Here is a 22,079-nt window from a genome sequence, read left to right as displayed (position 1 = left end):
TTTTTTTTTAAAGTTTATCAGCTATCATTAGTGTATTTTATGTGTGGCCCAAGACAATTCTTCTTCTTCTTCCAGTGTGGCCCAGGGAAGCCAAAAAACTGGACACCCCTGGTTACAGGATCCTACCTATAAAGCAGCTTCTCAACCTTTCTCTACCCTCCATTACCAACGTCTCAGTTCTATGGCAAGTCCTCTTCATCTCTGACCTGGACTGTGGCCCCAGTGACTCTGGCCTCTGACCCCATTGACTCCCATTTCTAAAACATCTCCATAGCTAACAGAGTGATAACTGCAAGCTATCTGATCTTTCACTCAGGGCCTAAAACACTGTGCTGGTCTTATGAATGTCTCTACCACATAAAGTCCAAATATTAAAATTGTCTTTTTATGACTTGTCTGATGATATATACTAAAAGTACATATTCTCAAGCATATCACTGAAAGTATTCCAAATTATCAAACTGTATAGATTTTTAAAATCTTAAGCTTCTTTAGACGCAGGTGTCTGTAAGAATAGAATTCTAGTATTCTGTGGTCATTTACTTAAAATAAACTTTTTTTTTTCTTTCAGAGAAACAGTGGACAAAAAGAGAGCACAGTTCTCACTATACAGCCAAAGTAATACAGGGCTCTTTTGTAGACAAATTCTAGAACTTCTTAATTATACACAGGCTTATTATCTATATCCCCAGTGTTATAAAGTACCAGAACTTCATTAGAAAAATTAAGCTGGAAAAATGAAGGCAGCACTTTGTAAATTTCCACTGGAAATTAGCTGGGAGAGGCAGAGGAATACTGGATCAAAAGAGGGTAATCATGCTTAACTGTGCCCTAGAGCACCCGCATGTATAATACGATTTGCACAGTAACTACCTCTCCTATTACTGCTTGTTTGGAGTATTCTGTGTTAATGGGGTTAGCTAATTTAGTATTTTAACTTAAAAAGGCTCTGCTGATTAATAAATGTTGCACACTGTGCTAGTAATTAAAATAAATGGAAGAGTTACAAATAAAAGTTGAATTGTTAAAACATTATCTGAAAATATATGATAATCTCTATCATAATACAGTAATAGTTCAGAAAATATGCAAATTTTAAAGGTCTAAAGTGTCTGAAAAAACTACACAAGTCAAAAAAGTTTTGAGATATGTTAAATTTTCTTTTCACTATTCTTTAATGATAAATAGAACCAGTGCTTACCCGTGTATGCCACATTGTAAAATGTCCTTTCTAAAAACTGTTATTTAGATCTTGTTTCTTAACCTTTCCCACAACATTTTTCTTTTAGTAATGTCTACGAAATCATACTTAATTAGAAATTATATTTAAAGTTTTAAAAGTGAGTAATTTGGCCGGGCGCGGTGGCTCACGCCTGTAATCCCAGCACTTTGGGAGGCCGAGGCGGGCGGATCACGAGGTCAGGAGATTGAGACCACGGTGAAACCCCGTCTCTACTAAAAATACAAAAAATTAGCCGGGCACGGTGGCGGACGCCTGTAGTCCCAGCTACTCAGGAGGCTGAGGCAGGAGAATGGCGTGAACCCGGGAGGCAGAGCTTGCAGTGAGCCGAGATCGTGCCACTGCACTCCAGCCTGGGCAACAGAGCAAGACTCTGTCTCAAAAAAAAAATAAAAGTGAGTAATTTACTTACTTTTTACTGATATTTACTACAATGGAGCATGGTTCCCCCTTTTTTAGGGGTCTGTGGACACCAAGCACAGAAATAAAGGAAAATCCCGAGTCCCTTCAAGGGAAATTCCAGCCCCAGAAGTAAATAAGTAACTTGTTCTAGAGCTATTTATTTCCCTGTAGGAGCTAAAGATAACGTTTTACCATAGGTCCCCGAGTTGTCTTTCATGGGCTCAGACTCTCACTGAATGGATCTGTTGGCACTTAGACCCCAGATAAGGGGGAAGTGAAGACTAAACTTTAACTATCACCCTTTGTTGTAAGTTACTTCGTAAGGGGCTTGGGGGAAGTCATTCCCCCTAACCGGTTAACATTTTTTTATTCACCTCCAATTTTACTTTTTTAAATTTTGAGACAGCGTCTCGCTCTGTCACCCAGGCTGGAGTTGCAGTGGTGCGATCTGGGCTCACTGCCACCTCCGCCTCTCAGATTCAAGCGATTCTTGTGCCTCAGCCTCCCGAGTAGCTGGGACTACAGGTGCCCACCACCACACTTGGCTAATTTTTTTGTATTTTTAGTAGAGATGGGCTTTCACTATGTTGGCCTGGCTGGTCTCGAACTCCTGACCTCAAGTGATCCACGTGGCTCAGCCTCCCAAAGTGCTAGGATCACAGGTGTCAGCCACCACACCCAGCCATGATCCCAAATTTTTGAAAAGAGTTTCTCTTTCTTAGCCAATTGCCAATCAGAAGATCTTTAAATCTACCTACCATCTGTAAGCTCCTGCTTCAAGATATCTCACCCTTTTAGGCCAAAACTAATGTGTGACCTCCATGTATTGATTTATGATTTTGCCTGTAGCTTCTGCTCTCCTGAAATTTGCTCCTGCCTTTAAAAACTCTTACCTGCAGGCCACTGGGGAGGTTGGGTCTTAAGCATGAGCTTCCTTGAATCTTTTTGCTTGGCGCCCTGCAATAAACACCTTCCTTTCTGTCACTGCAAAAACCTCTGAGTTTTACTGTGGTGGGTGAATGGACCCCATTTCGGTTTTATAATATTACCAAATCCAATATTTACCAAGGCCCCTATCTAAGCTAGGTTGCAAATTTGAGAGAAATGAAGGCACATTAGATTCATAGCTATTAGTTCCAGCAAGTGGAGGAGCTCAAGAAATAGAGTTATTAGTTCTGCTATGCTACTAAATGTTTATGGGATGTCTCTCATTTCACCTACTCTGAATAACTATCAGTAAATTAATACTTTTTTGTTTTTCTAAAAGATGTAGAGACAGCTGTTGAGCTGTCTATACAGTTTCTTAAATGAAAGCCTATATAAGTTAAAATACAGCTACAATATACTTTAATCATGAACTCCTCTTCATAGGGAAACTCCAGTCACTGTTACATTTTTTTAAATCCTCGATGTCTATACCTTAAACTTGTGGAAGACTCTTGAATCCCTAGGGATTTGAGGAGTTCCTTCAAATTTAGCTCAGGATTATAATTAATCTAAACACCAAAGTCTGACCTAGCAAGGTAGCTTCTTGATTTGAAAACCTTTAGGAAGAACACTTGCATTTATTTTCTTTTGCTGTTATAACAAATCACCACAAAATTGGTGGTGGCTTAAACAATATTATTAACTTATCATTCTTGAGGTCAGAAGTGCAAAATAGGTCTTACTGGGCTAAAATCAAGGTGTGGCAGGACTTCGTTCCTTCTAGAGGATCTAGAAGAGAATCAATTTCCTCGCCTTTTGTGACTTCTAGAGGCAGCCTACATTCCTTGACGTGGTGCTCATGCCCCATCTTTAAAGCTAGGAAAGGTAAATTGAACCCTCCTCACATTGCATCACTCTGACCTCCTTTCATGTAGTCAAATTTCTTTCTGCCTCCCTCTTCCATTTTTAAGGACCTTTGAATTACAAAACTGGCCGCACTCTGATAATCTAGGATAATCTCCCCACCTAAAAGTCCCTAATTTAATCAAATCTGCAAAGACCTTTTTATTATATAAGGTAACAATCACAGGTTGCGAGGATTAGGACATGTAGACTCTTTGGCAGGGCAATAGGGATTGGGGAAGCATTATTATGCCTAACAGAAAATTAATTGAAACTAATTGGTTCTCATTTCTATTGCAATATCCTAAACCTATTGTATTTTGGATATAATTATAGTCTCCTGTATTAAGCCAGAATGTTTACAATTAACAGAAGATATCAATGTATAGGACTTTTACACCTCTCATAATACCTTAGTGAAGCCCATATCATAGCACACCTCTCATAATACCTTAGTGAAGCCCATATCATAGCCTATATCATCTGATTTATGATTGTCGACTCCATTCCATTTCTGCTGTCTTGATGGGTAAATTAAACATTGAATAGCTCTGGTACCATTATGGCCTCCCTTTTGCTCCACCTGTTAATAACATTTTTCCCCATTTCATCTAAGCAACTTTCATGGTCCCATTTCATGTTTGGAAATATTCCTTGAAATGTTCCCCTCTGAAATTTTAAAGCCTAAAATTCTCTGTGATCACCATATCCCATAAATAAGAAGTACAGTATATATAACATTCTGTCTTATTTTAATAAGGAAATAATAAATATACATATAATTGCACATGTAACCAAAAATTCCTGGACAGATACACAAGAAAGGGTTGACAATAGATACCTCTGCAAAACATAACTGAAGATCAGTGAAGAGCGTTTAATAATTGCACATGTAACCAAAAATTCCTGGACAGATACACAAAAAAGGGTTGACAATAGATACCCCTGGAAAACATAACTGAGGATCAGTTAATAGTGTTTAAGGTTTTTACAATAAATATGTGTTGTAGTTTTAATGTTTAAAAAGGTAAACAAAAATTCTTCTTTATTTTTTTAAATGGATTTGAGGAGATTCATAAATCAAAGGAAGTAGAAAATTTTTAACAGAAACAAGAGAGAACCAGGGACATACAGAAGAATGAAAACAGCTCCGTATCTCTGGAGCACAAAGTTCTTTACAGAATATGACAAAAATTAGCTAGAGAAATAAGCTTGGATCAGATCCTGAGGAAACTGTGTCTCGAAATAAGAAATTAAACTTTATCCTAGAGGCAATAAAAAGCCATTGAAAGGCATTTTAGCTGAATAATAATCGCATAATCGAATCTCTTTAGTGCTTGTCTGGTAAAATGCACTGAGTGAGAGTAAGACTAGGTAGACCAGGTTGAAGGGATTTTATGGCAATTAAAGTTAAGGAATTTTAAGGTGCCTAAATTAAGACAGTGATAGTATAAAGGGGAAGAGAGGCTGAATTTGAGAAAAACTTAAAAGGTAGAATAAACAGGACTTGAGGACTCATAGGATATGGATGATGCTGGAGGAGAAGGTAACTCACAAGTCTCTAGCTTGTGCAGATAGTTGGTGATGCAATTCACACTCAAGAAAAGATGCAGGAAAGTGTGTTATATACTGCGTTTAGGACATCTGGTGGAGATACAAACAAAGATGGCAGTTGAAAATGTAAACCTGAAATGTAGGATCAAGATTGTACAGATTTAAAATGGAAATCATTGGCATAGAGGTGGTAGTTAAAATCTTTCAAGTAGAAGCATCCATTCAAAGATTATACAGAGGAAGAAGAAGAAGAAGAAGAAGAAGAAGAAGAAGAAGAAGAAGAAGAAGAAGAAGAAGAAGAAAGAGAATATCAAATCCTTCTATCATTTTAGTTCTAACCTATTACCAAAGTTTCTGCAATATTTATCCTAATGGGTTTCACTGCATCTATCATATTCTTCTGAAATACATTTGTCTCACAATCAAATTTATATTCTTTTTATACCATCCACTTTCTCTAAGAAAACAATAAATAATTTTCCATTACCTATAGGATAAACCACCAACTACTTGGTCTTGAACTTTTTTGCAATTTTTCTTTCTCCTGCTCTCTAACATAAATAGTAGCCTGTCAAATTGGTCTTGTCATTGTTCTGTCAACTTTTCCTACCATCGTTTTCCTTTTCACATCATCAGCCTACTTTTATCTATTTTCTTCTTTCCTCTATCAAAATCTCAATCATCTTTTGCAGGATCCAACTCAGTTCCTTATCTGTCAAGAACGCTTTCCTAGATTATCAGAGACCAGAGAAAACTCGACATTTAAAAATATATACATTGTCTCTTACACACACTTGACCATTTATCAAGTACTTGGTAAATGTTACTAAAAATTTTGTTAGGTTTCCTGGTTAGTTTCAGCTATATAAGTTTCACGAGAGTAGAGGCTATGTCTGATTTATTCACCACTATGTCCCTAGAGCTTGGAACTATTCCTGACATGTAAACATCTGTTGAATCAATAAATAATCCTTTTTATTTCTCACAATATCTAGATGAGACCTTCCCATATAAAGGTTCCTTCATAATTATTTATTAATTGCTTATTTGGCTTCCTGGCTTCATAAGGATAGACATATGAGTGAGGGAAATAATTTTCTTTGAGATGGCATGAGAAAATTGAATGAGTTCCTTTAAAAACAAGAACAAAGAAAGCTTTAAAATGACTTCCAAAAAAACTTCCGTAATCTATTTTCCATGTCTTTATTATTATTGTCCTATTTGCTATGTTTATTTTAAAGAAGATATGTGACTAACAGCTATAACCTACCAGCCTGTGATTATTAAGAAGCATTTTGTCATTCCTAATAACTAGGAATGCAATGCTATGAATTGTGTTCTCTCAAAATTTATATGCTGAATTCCTAACACCCAGTACCTCAACATGTTACCTTATTTTGAAATAGGGTCTGATATAGTTTGACTCTGTGTTTGCACCCAAATCTCATGTTGAGTTATAATTCCCATTGTTGGTGGAGGGATCTGGTGGGAGGTGATTGGATCATGCGGGCAGATTTTTGCCTTGCTGTTCTCATGATAGTGAGTGAGTTCTCATGAGATCTGGTTGTTTAAAAGTGTGGCACTTCCCCCTTTGCTCTCTGTCTCCTGCCACGATGTGAAGATGTGCTTGCTTCCTCTTCACCCTTCCACCATGACTGTAAGTTTCCTGAAGTCTCCTAGCCATGCTTCCTGTACAGCGTTTGGAACTGTGAGTCAATTAAACCGCTTTTCTTCATAAATTACCCAGTCTCAGGTAGCTCTTCATAGCAGTGTGAGAACGGACTAATACAGGGTCACTGCAGATGTAACAAATGAAGATGAGGTCATACTGGAGTAGGGTAAGCACCTACTCTAATATGTATGGTGTCCCTATAGCAAAGAAAAATTTGGACACAGACATAGACATTGGGAGAACACCACGTGAGGAAGGCAGAGATCAGAGGAATGCTTCTAGAAACTGAAAAACATAAAGATTAATAGCAAACCACCAGAAGTTAATGAAGAGGCATGAAGAGATTCTTTCTCACAGAGAAGGAACCAACTCCGCTGACCCCTCCATCTTGGACTTCTAGCCTCCAAAATTGTGATACAGTACATTTCTATGTTTTTAAGCCATCCGTTTGTGGTACTTTGCTATGGCAGCCCTAGCAAACAAATACACTTAGAAAAATTGTCTTTTAGATGCACAAAGAGAGGCCTTTAACGAGGTTAGGATGCTGTGGTGTAGGCAGAGCTGTGCTCATTGTCCTCCTCAACTTCTGGTTCTCCAGGCTAGGGGATAAAATCCAGCCCATCTTTGGAATCTCTGATTTCTTACAACTTTTTTGATGTCTTAAATGCAGAATTACATTTGTAGTAATACAAAGCATGTTAATAATTCTCTTTTATTAAGACCCTACTATGTTCCTGACACTTTATACTCATTTTCTCTATCAATCCTCATTACAACCTTTTAAGGTAACATTTCTGCTTCATCTTACAGACAGGAAAATAGAGTTTCAGGTGGGCTAAATTACTAACCGAAGATTATACTGCTGTTTAATGGAACTAAGATTTGAGTTCATATAGCTCTAGTTTCAAAGTTCATACTACTTCTACTATAACACACTGCAATTTTCATAATGATATGAAAACAAAAGAGCTAAATGTATTAAACTCTCAGATATAATGCTACCCTTTGAGTCCTTAACATTAGAAATAAAAAGCTGTACCTTTCTAGGTCTAGATAGCAGGTTCCTGATATACTACTTTTAACTCCTTATAGGTAAAGTTGGTTTTGTGGTAAAAGGACCCTCTGCATTAACAAACCATGAATCTTTGTGACAGGACTATACTTCACGGAATTATTATCTGCAATGATATAAAACCTATATTTCTAACATTTCTTTTGTCACATAGGATAAAATAATGCATTAACCAGTATACAAAAAGCAAAATGGTTCAGAAGAAGCTATGAAAAAAAATCAGTGTTTCAATTCTAATAATGGAATTATCCTTAGGTTAAAGACCAATTACTTAGCCTAGTTGCAAAAAAAAAATAATAGATTTGAATCTATAAGAAATTTTTTTTAGCATCTGCAACTTGGTTTTTTTCTGATTGGTTGAAAATCTTAGAAAGACTTTGCAATCTCGGAAAGCCTCAGAGCAAAGGGTCATCAGCAACACTGTGGAAGTTGAAGATATGTACAAGTATTCCATGGAAAATACAAATCGAGCAACTTTCTTTGGGGATAACATTGATAGCTGATCTTTCTAGGCTTACTAAGGAAAATAGTAAGAAATGATATCACAGTATGTTTAATATACAATGATTTCTGTAGAAATATCAATCAGATAATCAATAATCATCTCAATTATTTGTTTGAGCAATTAGTCATGCTATTTTGTAAACCTTTGCATCATTGGAAATAGGAAAAGAATTCTGAGTAATATAACTCTTTAGATAATCATCACTAAATTTTATATTTTGCTTGGCTAAGTCTGAGAAGCTTTAATCTTCTACGATATGTGTGGTAAAATGAATCTACCTCCTCAAAACTAATTGGAAAAAAAGTTCCTTATTTTCTTACTCATCATATGTTGGGTTAAGCCAATCAATTATTGAAAGAATCTGCTAAACACTCTACAGCTAATTATTTCACTTCAAGTAATTGCTATAAAGTGAAAAACTTTATAAAAATTACTTGAGATGCCTGCCAATTTTGTCTTTGATATGTTTGTGTAAAGGTATAATTCAAATAACATATTTTATGTGTACATGTATATATAACTTATAACTGTTAAAATAATCCAAAATCCACTAAAATGGATAAGAGGTAATTCTAATTTCCTTCTATATCAAAACACACTTTTAAAATATTTTATAATTATCATATAAATTATTATGTAACAATTAGCACATGATTATGTAAATGCAATAAATGATTATAATTTTATATTTTGTATAATTTATAGTATACCAATATTATCATTAATATTTAGTATTATAATGTAATAATGTCTTACTTAGCATATAAATAATATTAAAATACATTATAAGATACATTGCAAAGATAATTGTGAGACATTACAGAATAATGACAATCATAAAAATAAAGCCATTTTAGATTTGAAATGGTCTATTTATAAGTTATCTATGACTCTATTGATGACAAAGTGTCTTAAGAGAGAGAAAGTGCCTGAGAGAAAGATGTCTGAATTAAGACCCAAATCCATGATGCTAAAAAAAATTTAAAATTACATATGCTATTAAATGATTCTTCATCTTTTTCAGTCATCTTCCTCAGTCATAAAGAAGCTAACTTCTTTCATTATATCTGACTTATTAAAACTACAATGTTATGTCAATAGATCAAAATGATATTTAGTCCACGTTAAGAAAAATGTTTCTTCCATCTTACTGGATCTTATTTTAGGCGTTTCATAAATATGTATGCTTTCACTATAGATAATTAAGAAAATTATCTTCACAGATACATAGATAGTGATCATTTATCCTCAAAATGCCGATCTTTTTTTTGTCTTTTGAGTTGTCAAAAGAGTTTTTGCCATCAATACTGACCTCATTTAAATCATTTGCATGCTGAAAAATTATTGCTTTGGAACAGGTCAGGGGTGGCTTTACCTTTTCTCACAAATAAAAGATTTTTTACAGTATTAGAAAATAAAAAAATTAGAAAATTTAAGGCACCAAATATGTCACAGCTATTTTTGTTAAGCTAAGAACTCACATATTGTCATTTACATTTTGCAGCCATTCCTCTCTTCTGAGCTCCTCTCTGGCCAACTTTAACTCATCGATTGGTTCTGCCACCCGCAACGTTGGCTCCAAAGGCCTGTAGCGTTGTTCTAATACTTCGGTGATATCTCGGAAGGGCCCCTGACAAGACAGGATGAGGAACATATTTTATATGGAAGATTTTTTTGAGGTATTACTGATGACCAAGGCTAGTGAACATCTACAAAGTATAGCAGGTTTACTAAGTTATTTTTAAAACACCATTTGTTCTTCGCTGAGTTAGAATATGCATGACATAATATCACTTATTTTCAAGCAATGTTCTCTCAAGTAAAATTGATTACATTAAAAAACTTTAAAATTAAACAGAAGTTTCCCCACTTACATCAAAAGATCTTCATGTTATAACTGATAAACTTGTTATAGGTTGCTTTGTTTTCTAATTTTACAAAGCACATTTTGTTCAGTATAATTAAAAAAAGGATTGTCTCCCTTTTTGAGTAAATACAAATATTAGGAAAAAATTCTAAGCATAGCTTTCCAACAGCCCTTCTATAAATAGAAATAGGAGAGCATTTGTTTTTTCATTAAGTTAAAATTTTTTGGTGAATTTCAAATGTCACACTTAATAGGCAGCCTCCTAAACACAGAAGAACCATAACTTTTATTTATTTTAAATGTTATTTATTTAAAATTCTAAACTCTATTGTTCAATTACTCTGATACCAATAGCAACCTTTTGATGACACAAATACTTAGCAGAGGAAAGTCCACAGCTGCACTGTGAAAAGTAACTTACAACATATCCTGCTTTCAAGTTAGTTGTTATTTATACTAGTTACTAAAATCCACTGGTTGTCTAATTAGTATCGTATTAGGCACAATACAAATCAAAGGCAGCTCAAGATTTTGCTGTGCCATTAATTGCATATTGGTTTTTTTCATCACTGTCGTATAGGAGAGAAGTAATATTAAATGGACAAAGATTTCTAATCATATTCCTTATTCTTAAAAATATCTTCTTTAAATAGGTTATCACTAACAAGACACAGCTGGAGTTACTGCAAGCACTGAGTGAAGACTGTGGGGCTAATAAAAAGAAATGATTCACGCCTCATTTATGTTCACTTATGCTTTACATTAATAGAAACCAATAATAGGAACCAGTTACCATAAAAGTCATGGACCGTAAATAACACAAATGGCAAATAAGTATCATCTAGTACTTTTCACAGCTGGACAGGAGGATTGCTATATTTGAAAGTAGTTAATGGATTTCTATTGGAATTTTACTTTTTAAAGATACAGTAACATGATTCCAAGTCCACTATTAAGAAATCAAATGGGACTTCTTTTTTTTTTCTTATTCTTATTCTTATACTTTGACAGAGTCTATGACTTAAAAAATTAATATTTGGTTTTATGACAAGGAGCAAAGTATTTCTCTATGCCGATGTTCATCATTTGTAAAATGGAATAACTACATCACAGAATTTCTCTTAAGATGTGTACGATAATGTGACACCCTTACCATGTACCTAGAACACAGTAAACACTCAAAATGGTTCCCACTACATTGTTATTGTTATTACCATCATAATTATTAGTTTCAAGAAGAGTTTTTAAAAGGTTTTGAGCAATAGTAGCATCAAAGAAATACACAATGGCCCAAGGCTATGACTTTGAAGAGACCAGCATTCACATGGAGCAATGGTCTTCTTGGTGGCCATGTTATGCCTTCTAACCTTTGTTGATAAGCAAACATAACACATATCTACTTGTAGGCTTACTCTACTGTTGTTCTGGAACTTATTAGTTCCAATGAGACTACAAAATGAAAGAGAAGAAGCCCTGCTTAGGATTAGAATGAAAGTAAACTCAGTCTTCCTTTTGGGTTCACTCCCACCTTCATGATCCCTGACTTTTGTGCAGTCATGTCCATGCCCCTATGTCTTTGCAATGCCTGGTACATACATTTATACCTCAGACAATTAGCATCTTGTCTTTGAGCTCAATAGTCTTCCAGCTCCTTGGTTAGTGAACTTGACACCAGCTATCAAGTTTCTCTTACGTCAAATTTTTGTTGATTTATATTTCTTTTGAAAAACTGCCTTTTTTGGATATCAGGCAATCATCTATCCCAGTCATGCCTAGAGTGACATGGGAACCCAGGTTTTGTAAATATATATCTATATTTATATATCTATATATCTATGTGTATCTTTCACCTATCAAACTTTAGATCTGCTGATTGTACTTATTTCCAATTAATCCCTAGAATACCTAGATCATCCAAGACTTAACTTGACACTACAGGTATTTCTGGACTCTTAGCTATGGTTTTTTAATGTTTAGTTTACATTGCCTCCACCTAAGCCCTGGTTAGGAGAGTCAAATATATTTATGTTCTGCTGTATTTTCCATAATTCATGTTATTTATAGTCATTTTATATGTTTAAGCCATTATTAAAACCATAAAATTGTCCTAGATGTTTAAAAAATTCACCTGGCAAGTAAAGCTACTCTGATTAGAGTACAAATATTATCATTTGGGCATAATCTTAAATGTCACCAATGAGGTATATACTTTTTTATTATTGGTAACACACAGGAATATGGCTCAGAAAAAACAAACAAACAAAACAAAATGTAAAACAATCCCATTTTGGGAAAAAAAAAGGAAGAAGGGAAAGAGAAAAGAAAAAAGAAGAATGGTGAAGAAAAGAGGCAAAGGAAGTAAAGAGAGGAGAAGGTGTTAAGAAAAGATGACAGAAGGAAGACTGAGAAGGAAGGAAACAAGAGAATGAAGAATAGGGCAGTGGGGATGACATGGCCAGAGGAAAAGGAGGAGGAGTTTAAAATAGGGAAGGAAGGAGACAGAAGAAGAAGGAAAGAAAAAACACTGAAAGAGAAAATAAATAATAGAAGAGAAGAGAATAAAAAAGAGAGAACGAAGAAAAGAGAATAGATTAGTAGGGATCATTATTTTGTAGCATGCTAGATAAATGTAATTCAGGAGTATATGTGTGTATATATATGTAAGTATACATATATACATATATAAATACATATTTTTTAATTCTGCCATGTGTTTATATATTCTCTATATAAACATAAATATTTCTCTCTCTCCATACACAGACACACACACACACACACACACACACACAAGTTGTTTTACAAATGTGTGTATTTTTCTATTTTTATACTTATACCATATATATATATATCTTCCATATGGGCTGATATACCATTTATACATATATATTTTCCATATACCTATACATCATCCATACATTATTTCTATATATGTACCTTCTGCCTATGCATTCCATACATACTAAATACACTTATGTATATAGGTATATGTGTACATAGAATGGTATGGAGGAAGAAAGCCATGTAGGGAATGAAGATGGTTGTACAGAGGTTGTATTGAGAAACAGAGATGAAGAATGAACACTGACAAGTGTAGAAGAAGACACATCATTAAAAGTATATTAAAAGCAGGGCAATAAAGCAAATGTAATAACATTATAAAACACCTATACCATAATATTACATGTTTAATGGTTAATGTTGTGAATATTGTATAGTGTGGTAGTTTGGTTCAGATGACCTTCATGGTGTTTCCAGCTCAGAAATATTTACATGCCCTTATTTTATTCATGCCATGTAATTTTCACATTTCCTAAAAAGTTGTATGCAAAATTACTCTATGAATTCCATGTAGTACCAATAGCTATACAAATGAATATAGCATGCAACGTGGTTTATTATTATTATTATTTTTTGGGATGGAGTCTTGCTCTCTCACCCAGGCTGGAGTGCAATGGTGTGATCTCGGCTCACTGCAACCTCCACCTCCCAGGTTCAAGCGATTCTCCTGCCTCAGCCTCCCAAATAGCTGGGATTACAGGCATGTGCCACCATGCCCGGCTAATTTTTGTATTTTTAGTAGAGGCAGGGTTTCACCATGTTGGCCAGTCTGGTCTCGAACTCCTGACCTCGTAGGTGATCCACCCACTCCAGCCTGTAATCCACCCAAAGTGCTGGGATTACAGGTGTGAGCCACCGCGCCCACCAGCAGTGTGGATTATTAAAAATTTAAATATGCAATGTTACATCTACCTTAACTGCTTTTGAGTAGTTAATACATTTAACACACTGAACACTTAATATACATGCAGTGGAAATGCTGGAGTTATTATTTTCTTGATAGAATAATTAATAAATTTAATTGCTTGTTGATGCAAAGTTATATGTTATATATGCAATGTGATGATTACTTACACTAATAGAAAAATAGTAATGTACATAATTCAAAATAGCAAAAATTCAATTATTCATAATATAAAATTCATTTTATATTTACATTTAAAACTATTTTAAATGCTTTCACTAGAATATTGATATAACTCTTATTTAAAAAGGAATAATGAAACCATACTCTGAAGACATATCCCCCTAAAAAACTGAAAATTTTCCTACTATCTCTCTTTTGTCCCCTTGCTCACTCCACTATGCTTGTCACTCCAGTTTAGTAAAGGAACGAATGATCAGATTCAGATAAATGGATTAGTTTACTAGGTAATTGAGAATGCTGATACATGGGCCTGGCGTGATGGCTTATTCCTGTAATCCCAGCACTTTAGGAGGCCGAGACAGGCAGATCACCTGAGGTCAGGAGTTGGAGACCGGCCTGGCCAACATGGTGAAACCCTATATCTACTAAAAATACAAAACTTAGCAGGGCATGGTGGCAGGTGCCTGTAATACCAGCTACTTGGGAGGCTGAGGCAGGAGAATCGCTTGAACCAGGGAGGCAGAAGTGGTAGTGTGCTGAGATCCCTCCACTGCACTCCAGCATGGGCAACACAGCGAGACACCATCTCAAAAAAAGAATACGGATATAAATAGAATATCACAGGAACTGAATCAGAGATGAAGAAAAGGAGAAAGCGGTCCAAGGGGGAAACTGACTATAGATTTTCAATTATATTTTATAGCTCTTTCTCTAAGACAGTATAAACCATCAGTTAATAGTATTAATTATCAGTTAGTAGTTTTGAGAGAGTAAAAAAAAAGATACAAATAATGGGAATTAAGGACGTAATTATAGAGAATGGAAACACAACATATATCACAAATAATTACAGTAAAGTGGGAGATTTTTAATGAAATAGAATGCAGGGCTGTCTTATTGCAAGGATGATTCAATGGTTGAGGGTATAAAAGGCAGGCTCTAGGATGACTCCCAAGGGCCCCTGCCTCCTGGTATCCACACCGTCGGGTAGTCTTTTGCCCTTGAATATAAAATAGACTTACTCATTTCGAACATGGCAGAAGTGATGGGATGTCACTTCTAGCATTAGTTTTATAAGCCTGTGGCTTCTGTTTTGAAAGCTGTCTCTCTCTCTCCCTAGGATCACTCACCCAGAGGGAAATGAGTTACCATGTTGTGAGGCAGCTCTGTGAAGATGCCAATGTGAGGAGGGGCTGAGGCATGACAACACCCAACCATGTGAGTGAGGGAACCAACCAAGAGGATCTCACTGCCCTCCTATCCCCACCCTCCGTCTGAGCCTTCATATGAGATCACGGTCATGGTTGACATCTTTTTTTTTTTTTTTTTTTTAATAGAGACAGGCTCTCGCTATGTTGCCCAGGCTGGTTGTGAACTCCTGGGCTCAAGTGATCCTCCCACCTCACCCTCCCAAAGTGCTGGGATTATAGGCATGAGCCACTGTGCCTCACCTGGCTGACATCTGGACTACAACATCATGAGAGAACTTGAGTAAGAGGAACTCACCAAAGGCTGTACCTAGAATGGCAAACCCATAGAAACTGTGAAGTAACAAATGTATGTTGGTTTAACCCATTAGATTTTGGAGTAATTTATTATACAGCAATATAGATACACAAGGGCACGCCTATTCAGGGAGTTAATGGTCAGGAGTTCTGGGAGTTTAATTGTGTGAGCCAAATCTAACACAAGGTAGTTGATACTACATGGTGGCAGCTTAATTATTGATTGGGATGATAGACCTGTGGCTCTCCGGGACTTTTAGGATGGTGACAATCATCATTCACCCCACCCCACTCTACCCTTTAGCCTCAGGAAGTCATTTGCCAAACCTGTTGTACTACAATCTAGTTATAGGGAAGATTTCCCATCTCTACTATGAGTATTGCTTTGTTTTGAGCTGTCTCAAATTCTCAAATTTACATTTGTAAAATTACTCAAACCCAAGTTTTGTTTAAAATGGCATATAAAGACATATAGCATCAAATGAGAGGTTAAATTCAATAAAATTGATAATACATGTATTCCCAGCAACAACAGGTTATAACAAGTAGTGGTATAACAATATTTTTACATAAAAAATCTAGATTCTAGGAAATAATCCATGTTTTAACTTCTTATTCAATATAACAAGATTTAATGCCAAAGAAGTGTTTGTTCACTTCTTTGGTATATATTTGTAAATTACTTTATGTTTATTATTTAAAATTAGAGTTGCAAAAAATAATTTTCCTCTGGTCAAAAAAATGGAACAAAACAATAATCTATATATATATAGATAGATAGATAGATTATAGACTCTCTCTATATATATATATATAGATCGGTCGCCAGGCTGGAGGGCAGTGGCACGATCTCGGCTCACTGCAACCTCCGCCTCCCGAGTTCAAGTGATTCTCCTGCCTCAGCCTCCCGAGTAGCTGGGACCACAGGGTGCACCACCATGTCCAGCTAATTTTTGTATTTTTAGTAGAGATGGGGTTTCACCATGTTGTCCAGGATGGTCTTGATCTCTTGACCTTGTGATCTGTCCGCCTTGGCCTCCCAAAGTGCTGGAATTACAGGCGTGAACCACTGTGCCCAGCCCTGTATTTTTAAAAAGCAAGACACTGTAACAGAGTAGAGAAGGAGCCCATAGAATGGGAGAAAATATTTGCAAACCATGTATCTGATAAGGCATGAATACCCAGAATATATAGAGAACTCCTAAAACTCAACATCAAAAAACAGCCCAATTCAAAAATGGGCAAAGGACTTAGAATAGACATTTCTTCAAAGAAGACACACAAATGGCCAATAGGCACATAAAAAGATTCTCAACATCGCTAACAATTAGAAAAATGCAAATCAAAACTGCAACAAGAATGTGGAGAAATTGGAACCCTTGTGCCCTGTTGATGGGAATGGAAAATGTGTATAGATGCTATGAGAAACAGTATGGCAGTTTCTCAAATAATTAAAAATATAATTACCATATAATCTGGCAATTCCACTTCTGAGTATATTCTTAAAAGAAATGAAAACAGTCTCAAGAAGATCTTTTACACCCATGTTCACAGCAGCATTATTCACAATACATAAAGTGTGGTCGCAACTCAAATGCCAAATGCAGATAAATGGATAAACAAAATGTGGTATGTACATAAAATAGAATATTATTCAGCCTTAAGAAAGAAGGAAATTCGGACATATTCTGCAACATAGATGAACTTTAAGAACATCGTGCTAAGTGAAACAAGTCATGTCAGGGGATGGGGCAAAGGGAAATGGAGAGTTGTTTAGTGGGTATAGTTTTAATTCTCCAAGATGAAAAGAGTTCTAGCGACAGCTGATTGCACAAAAATATGAATGTACTTAATCCCACTAAACTATATAATTAAAAATGGTTAAATTAAGATAGTGTTATATAAAAAGTGCAAAAAATAGCAAGAATAAAATTAATGACAGAATTCTTATACAGCAAACTAGTACCTGACATTGCTTTCTATTAATAGGTGGTAGAATTTCAGACCGAGGAAAAGAACGGGCGCTTGTACAAGCTAGCCAATCAGTAAGGCTGGTGGAGTCCTTCTGCTTAACTTTAGGTCTTCGGTGTGTTAAAGGCTTTGCCTTCTGTAATTGCAGCTCCCATGGATCAGGCTCTTTTCTGAAGGGTGAATTGTATATTCCTGGAATCTAAAGAAGAAGAAAGCAATTTTGATTTTTTCTTTAATTTTCAGATGAAATAAAGGAAAGAGTTGTACCATGAAATTTTTTCTTATGTTTAAAGAATATTTTAAACTACAACTGTGGTTCTTAACCAGAGGTGGACTTCAGATTTACCTAAAGAGATTTTACAAAATACTCATACTTGTCCTTACTCTAGACCAACAATTTCAATATCTTTCAGAATTGAGCACTAAACATTTTAAAAACTAGTGAGCTCAAGTTCCTATCTGTCACACAGCCTTTTTACATCACTATACTTAAGAAAAAATTACAGTAAGACTCTAAGCCATTCATTTTGTATTCTAACTGTATGCTATGTATATTTAACTATACGTGTAAGTCATACATTCACTCACAGGAAGTCAAATATACAATGCTTGATCAAGTTTCAGGTACAAAATATGTACTCAAATATTTGACTGATTATTTTAATTATTATTCATTACGTAAACTAAGGGCAACTATCTTGACTTTTGTACTTTAATAATCAAATTGGTATCACCTATAATGCTACAGGTATCACCTATAATATAGGCTATAATACTATATTATATATCACTCAAAATAACATCCTGTATTTCATGAGTTGTATTCACGTGGTTAGGTGCTATGCTTCTGTAGTATTATCCTTGCTGTTCTATCAATGACTTTGTCATGTACTGCATAAAATAGTCAAGAGTACCTTCCACACAATAGAGTTTCAATAGATGTATGTGTGACAAATGTTAAGTCAAATTTAGCGTGTCTATTTTTGAAAATTTAATGTTGTTTGAATATACAAACTGCATAGAACGAAATTTTGATGGTATTATATTTTAATGGTATTAGATACCAATCTTTGATATATGGTTCCATGAAGCCTTATATCAAAACATATACACATATGTGTATATGTAAATATCATACACAAATGCATATTTAAAAGGAGAAGTTACATTTTAAAGGGCAATATGACTTATTTGGTGTCTTTGTAGACACTCTGGACTATATATTAAATGTATCCATTCTTACTAAAAATGTGATTTCTCTTATGCCATCAACATATCTATAAACATTCCTTTTTGCTACATTTACTTCATGGAATCAGCAGTTCCAAAGCATTAACTAAGATAGCTGTCTTCGAAAACCTAAGAAAAGTGTAAATTTCCAGCCTAACTCAGCAATAAGTGTTAACCTCTATCAAATACCTACCCAGGCTGGAGTCAACGTCCTATCCCAAATGCAATATCCTATTCCAAATGCAACGTCCTATCCCAAATGCAACATCCTATCCCAAATGCAATGTCCTATCCCAAATGCAACATCCTATACCAAATGCAACGTCCCATCCCAAATGCAACATCCCATCCCAAATGCAACGTCCTATCCCAAATGCAACATCCTATCCCAAACGCAGTGTCCTATACCAAATGCTTCCTTACTATGGGGATAACCACCACAATACCTATCACATTACACTGTTTCAAAATTATATTTGCATGTATGTCTTCCACAAGCTAGAAGCTGGAGCACAGAGAGTCTGTTCCAGGTATTTTTGCAACCCCAGGGCCTAGCAGGGTACATGGCACTTAGTAGGCACTCAATAAATGAATGTTAAATGCTTATCTAGAATAACAACGCACAGTTCAGAAAGGCCCGTGAAAACCTCTATTTCACTCTTGCTTTCCAAAGCAACATAAATATCTTAATAAAAAGTTTGAGACTTATTTCAGAATTGTATTGACTGCTTTCAAAGAATATACAGATTATACCATTTTTCTTTTTTTTAACAGAACAGTTTCAATTTGCTTTAAAACACATTGTCAAAGACCTATTTGAGTCACCTCCAACTCAAATTTTTCTATTTTTTAATTGGAGACTAAATTTTATTGGATACAAAGCAGTTAATGTAAATGCATTTAAACATTTAAAAATATTTTTGTACTGGCTCTTCTTTGAGATTTATTCTCTATTACAATTGATACAAGAAAAACACTGTGTGGAAAAACATTAAAGGCAGTTATATAAACCATTTTTAATGTCATGTTAACATGTTCTCACTATAACAGTAAATATAGACAAGGTAAATACACAGACAATAGCTTTCCATGGACAGTAATTTTTAAGTGGATGGCAATTATAAAGATAATTTCTAGGGTGATTTTCTAAGATTAGAATTTATTGATTGTACTAAGAAAAAAATAAATGTTATATTTTTAAAAGACTATTGTGACATAAAGTGTAACTAAATCTACAGTCTATAAAAATGATATGAGAATACCATTCTCATCAGTGATGATCTAATAAACTGAAGTCTGTTAGTTTTTTATGAACATTGCTACAACCTTACAGATTAAAATGGTAAAATACATACAATTTAGCTAGATTAAAATTTATCATTTGAAAATATCTACCTACCTGAATAACCGCTACCAGCTATTAACTTTACTCCATTAGAAATCCTCTTTGATCTTGCACATTTGCATGCACGTGTATACATAGGCTAGATGGGAAATGCAAATGGATCAGTAGACATGATAGCTTTCTTAAATTATATTTTGCAACCTATATGGAGACCTCCTCATGTGTATTCTCTTTGCAATTTAAATCAAATATAGATCGAAAATATATTTTAATTGAATTTCAAATGTATCATTTAAAGTCTTCAAGGTGTCAGTATTTTAGAAATTAATTTAATACATTTGCTAAGTTATGTCAATAAAAACAGTCCAGCACTCCCACAATCCCTAGAGCAGGCAAATACCCTATTTATTTATATTGATGCAGTATTCATTTACTTATTATTTCTTTAAATAAATACAACAACCTTAACATACTATTGTCTCAATTGCCATATTTCATCATTAGTAAGCCACTTATGAATAATGGTTTCTTGTTGATTTTTAAAAATATTACTATGAGTCACAAAAGACAGGGTTAATCCTCAGGGACTATGGTATATTTTTCAGTTTTCACATTTTTCACAACTTAGAAGGGCTACTGCCAAGCTAGCTTTGGGGACTTCATTTTCAGCAATAATTTTCTAGAGTGACCAACACTATGGGGAAATCTGTGCTAACTGTTTAAAAAAAAAAAGAAAAAGCCTACAACTGAGTTATTTGCAGTACTGTCATGCTAACATTCAACTCAATAAGACCCAGGAAATCTCAGGAGAGGACTCTGCTAATAGCTTCTTACTGACCTCCTTGCATCAGGCCCGGCTGCTGACTGGTGGCCCAGTGGTGAATGTGGCAAATGAGGTGTGAAAGCACTGATTTTTTTTAAAGGCTACGATTCTGACTCGTCAAAAGGCAAAAAAAAAAAAAAAAAAAAAAAAAAAAAATGCAATGAGTTATATAATAGATACATATTTTTCTTGAATTCCCCCCTTCAGACTCTCCATCATGGGAACTTAAGCATGACCTAGAATATTAATTATGTCAGGTTGAGCAACGAGCAAACGTACCATTTGTTACCCAGTCACCCCTAGCATTACATTAATACTTTGAACCATTCCGTATTTCTAATAATCTATCAATTGGCTCTTTTCTTCTCAGTTTTTATTCTTATACTTAAGTATTATGTGGAAAAGTGTTAAAACGGTACAATTGATTTGAAAAGAAATGGATATACTTGTTTTATTTGGAGCACCTACTATTTTATTCCATGAAAAATGTTTTTTATGGCCATTTTCCACTCATACACTGACCTTTACTTTGTAATTGCCTGGGGGAAGCTATAGTCTAATTTTTTTCTCTTCTCTTTGTTACCAAGGTGTACTTTTAAAACAAGTTTCTATGAAATAGGAAGAATAAGACACAGGATAGTGTACACCTACAATTCCCAGATCACAATTACTAATGTTCTAATTTCATATTTTACCATAACAGAAATAACAATTTCTCATGATTTCCAAGGAACTGTTTATTCCGGGTATGAAGAATGATTAAGTATTCAGGATAGGTGGAAGAATTCAAGTTTTACTTTCACAAATGACAATTACGCAGCAAAAAAGAGTGGCTGACCACAAATAGGAATAAAATTTAAAACTATTTTCTTGCCTCTTGATTAAAAATTTCTGAATACCACGAGAGAGAAACAGTTCTTAAAGGAGGTGTGTCTAAAATATGTTTGGGTTCTATGTTTTAAATCACATTTGCTTTTAAAAAATGATATACTAAGCCAGTAGGGAAGAGTAGTAAAGATCTCTCTCTAATAACTAGTAAAGTACAAGTGGCCAAAGAACTGTGAATGAAATATTTGCTAGGGTAGGGACTGCTGAATCTACACTGACCAATGTACTTCATCATAATTATCAGGAC

General features: G+C 34.8%; 1 protein-coding gene and 1 long non-coding RNA gene across 4 annotated transcripts in view; one reads left to right on the top strand and one right to left on the bottom strand.

The window, feature by feature from the left end:
* SPATA17 (spermatogenesis associated 17) overlaps window positions 1-22,079 on the bottom strand; it is a 240,353-nt gene that overhangs the window by 79,618 nt on the left and 138,656 nt on the right. For 2 of the 3 annotated variants that reach the window (NM_001375655.1, NM_138796.4), the window contains exons 7-8: window positions 17,542-17,745; window positions 9,757-9,905 (exon numbers count right to left, since the gene is read on the bottom strand). In NM_001375655.1, coding sequence (NP_001362584.1) covers window positions 9,757-9,905; window positions 17,542-17,745 — 353 coding nt within the window. Of the gene's footprint in view, window positions 1-9,756; window positions 9,906-17,541; window positions 17,746-20,152; window positions 20,261-22,079 lie in introns of those variants that run through there. The other variant, XM_011509194.4, reaches the window with a different exon arrangement.
* SPATA17-AS1 (SPATA17 antisense RNA 1) lies at window positions 6,959-10,881 on the top strand. Its single transcript, NR_125784.1, has 3 exons — window positions 6,959-7,117; window positions 9,780-9,954; window positions 10,796-10,881. It is a non-coding gene; the product is annotated as an SPATA17 antisense RNA 1 (long non-coding RNA).

This window comes from Homo sapiens, chromosome 1 (assembly GCF_000001405.40).
Source record: "Homo sapiens chromosome 1, GRCh38.p14 Primary Assembly".
Lineage (NCBI taxonomy): Eukaryota > Metazoa > Chordata > Mammalia > Primates > Hominidae > Homo > Homo sapiens.
Note: the sequence above shows the minus strand (reverse complement) of the source record. Positions and strands in the feature narration are given on the sequence as shown.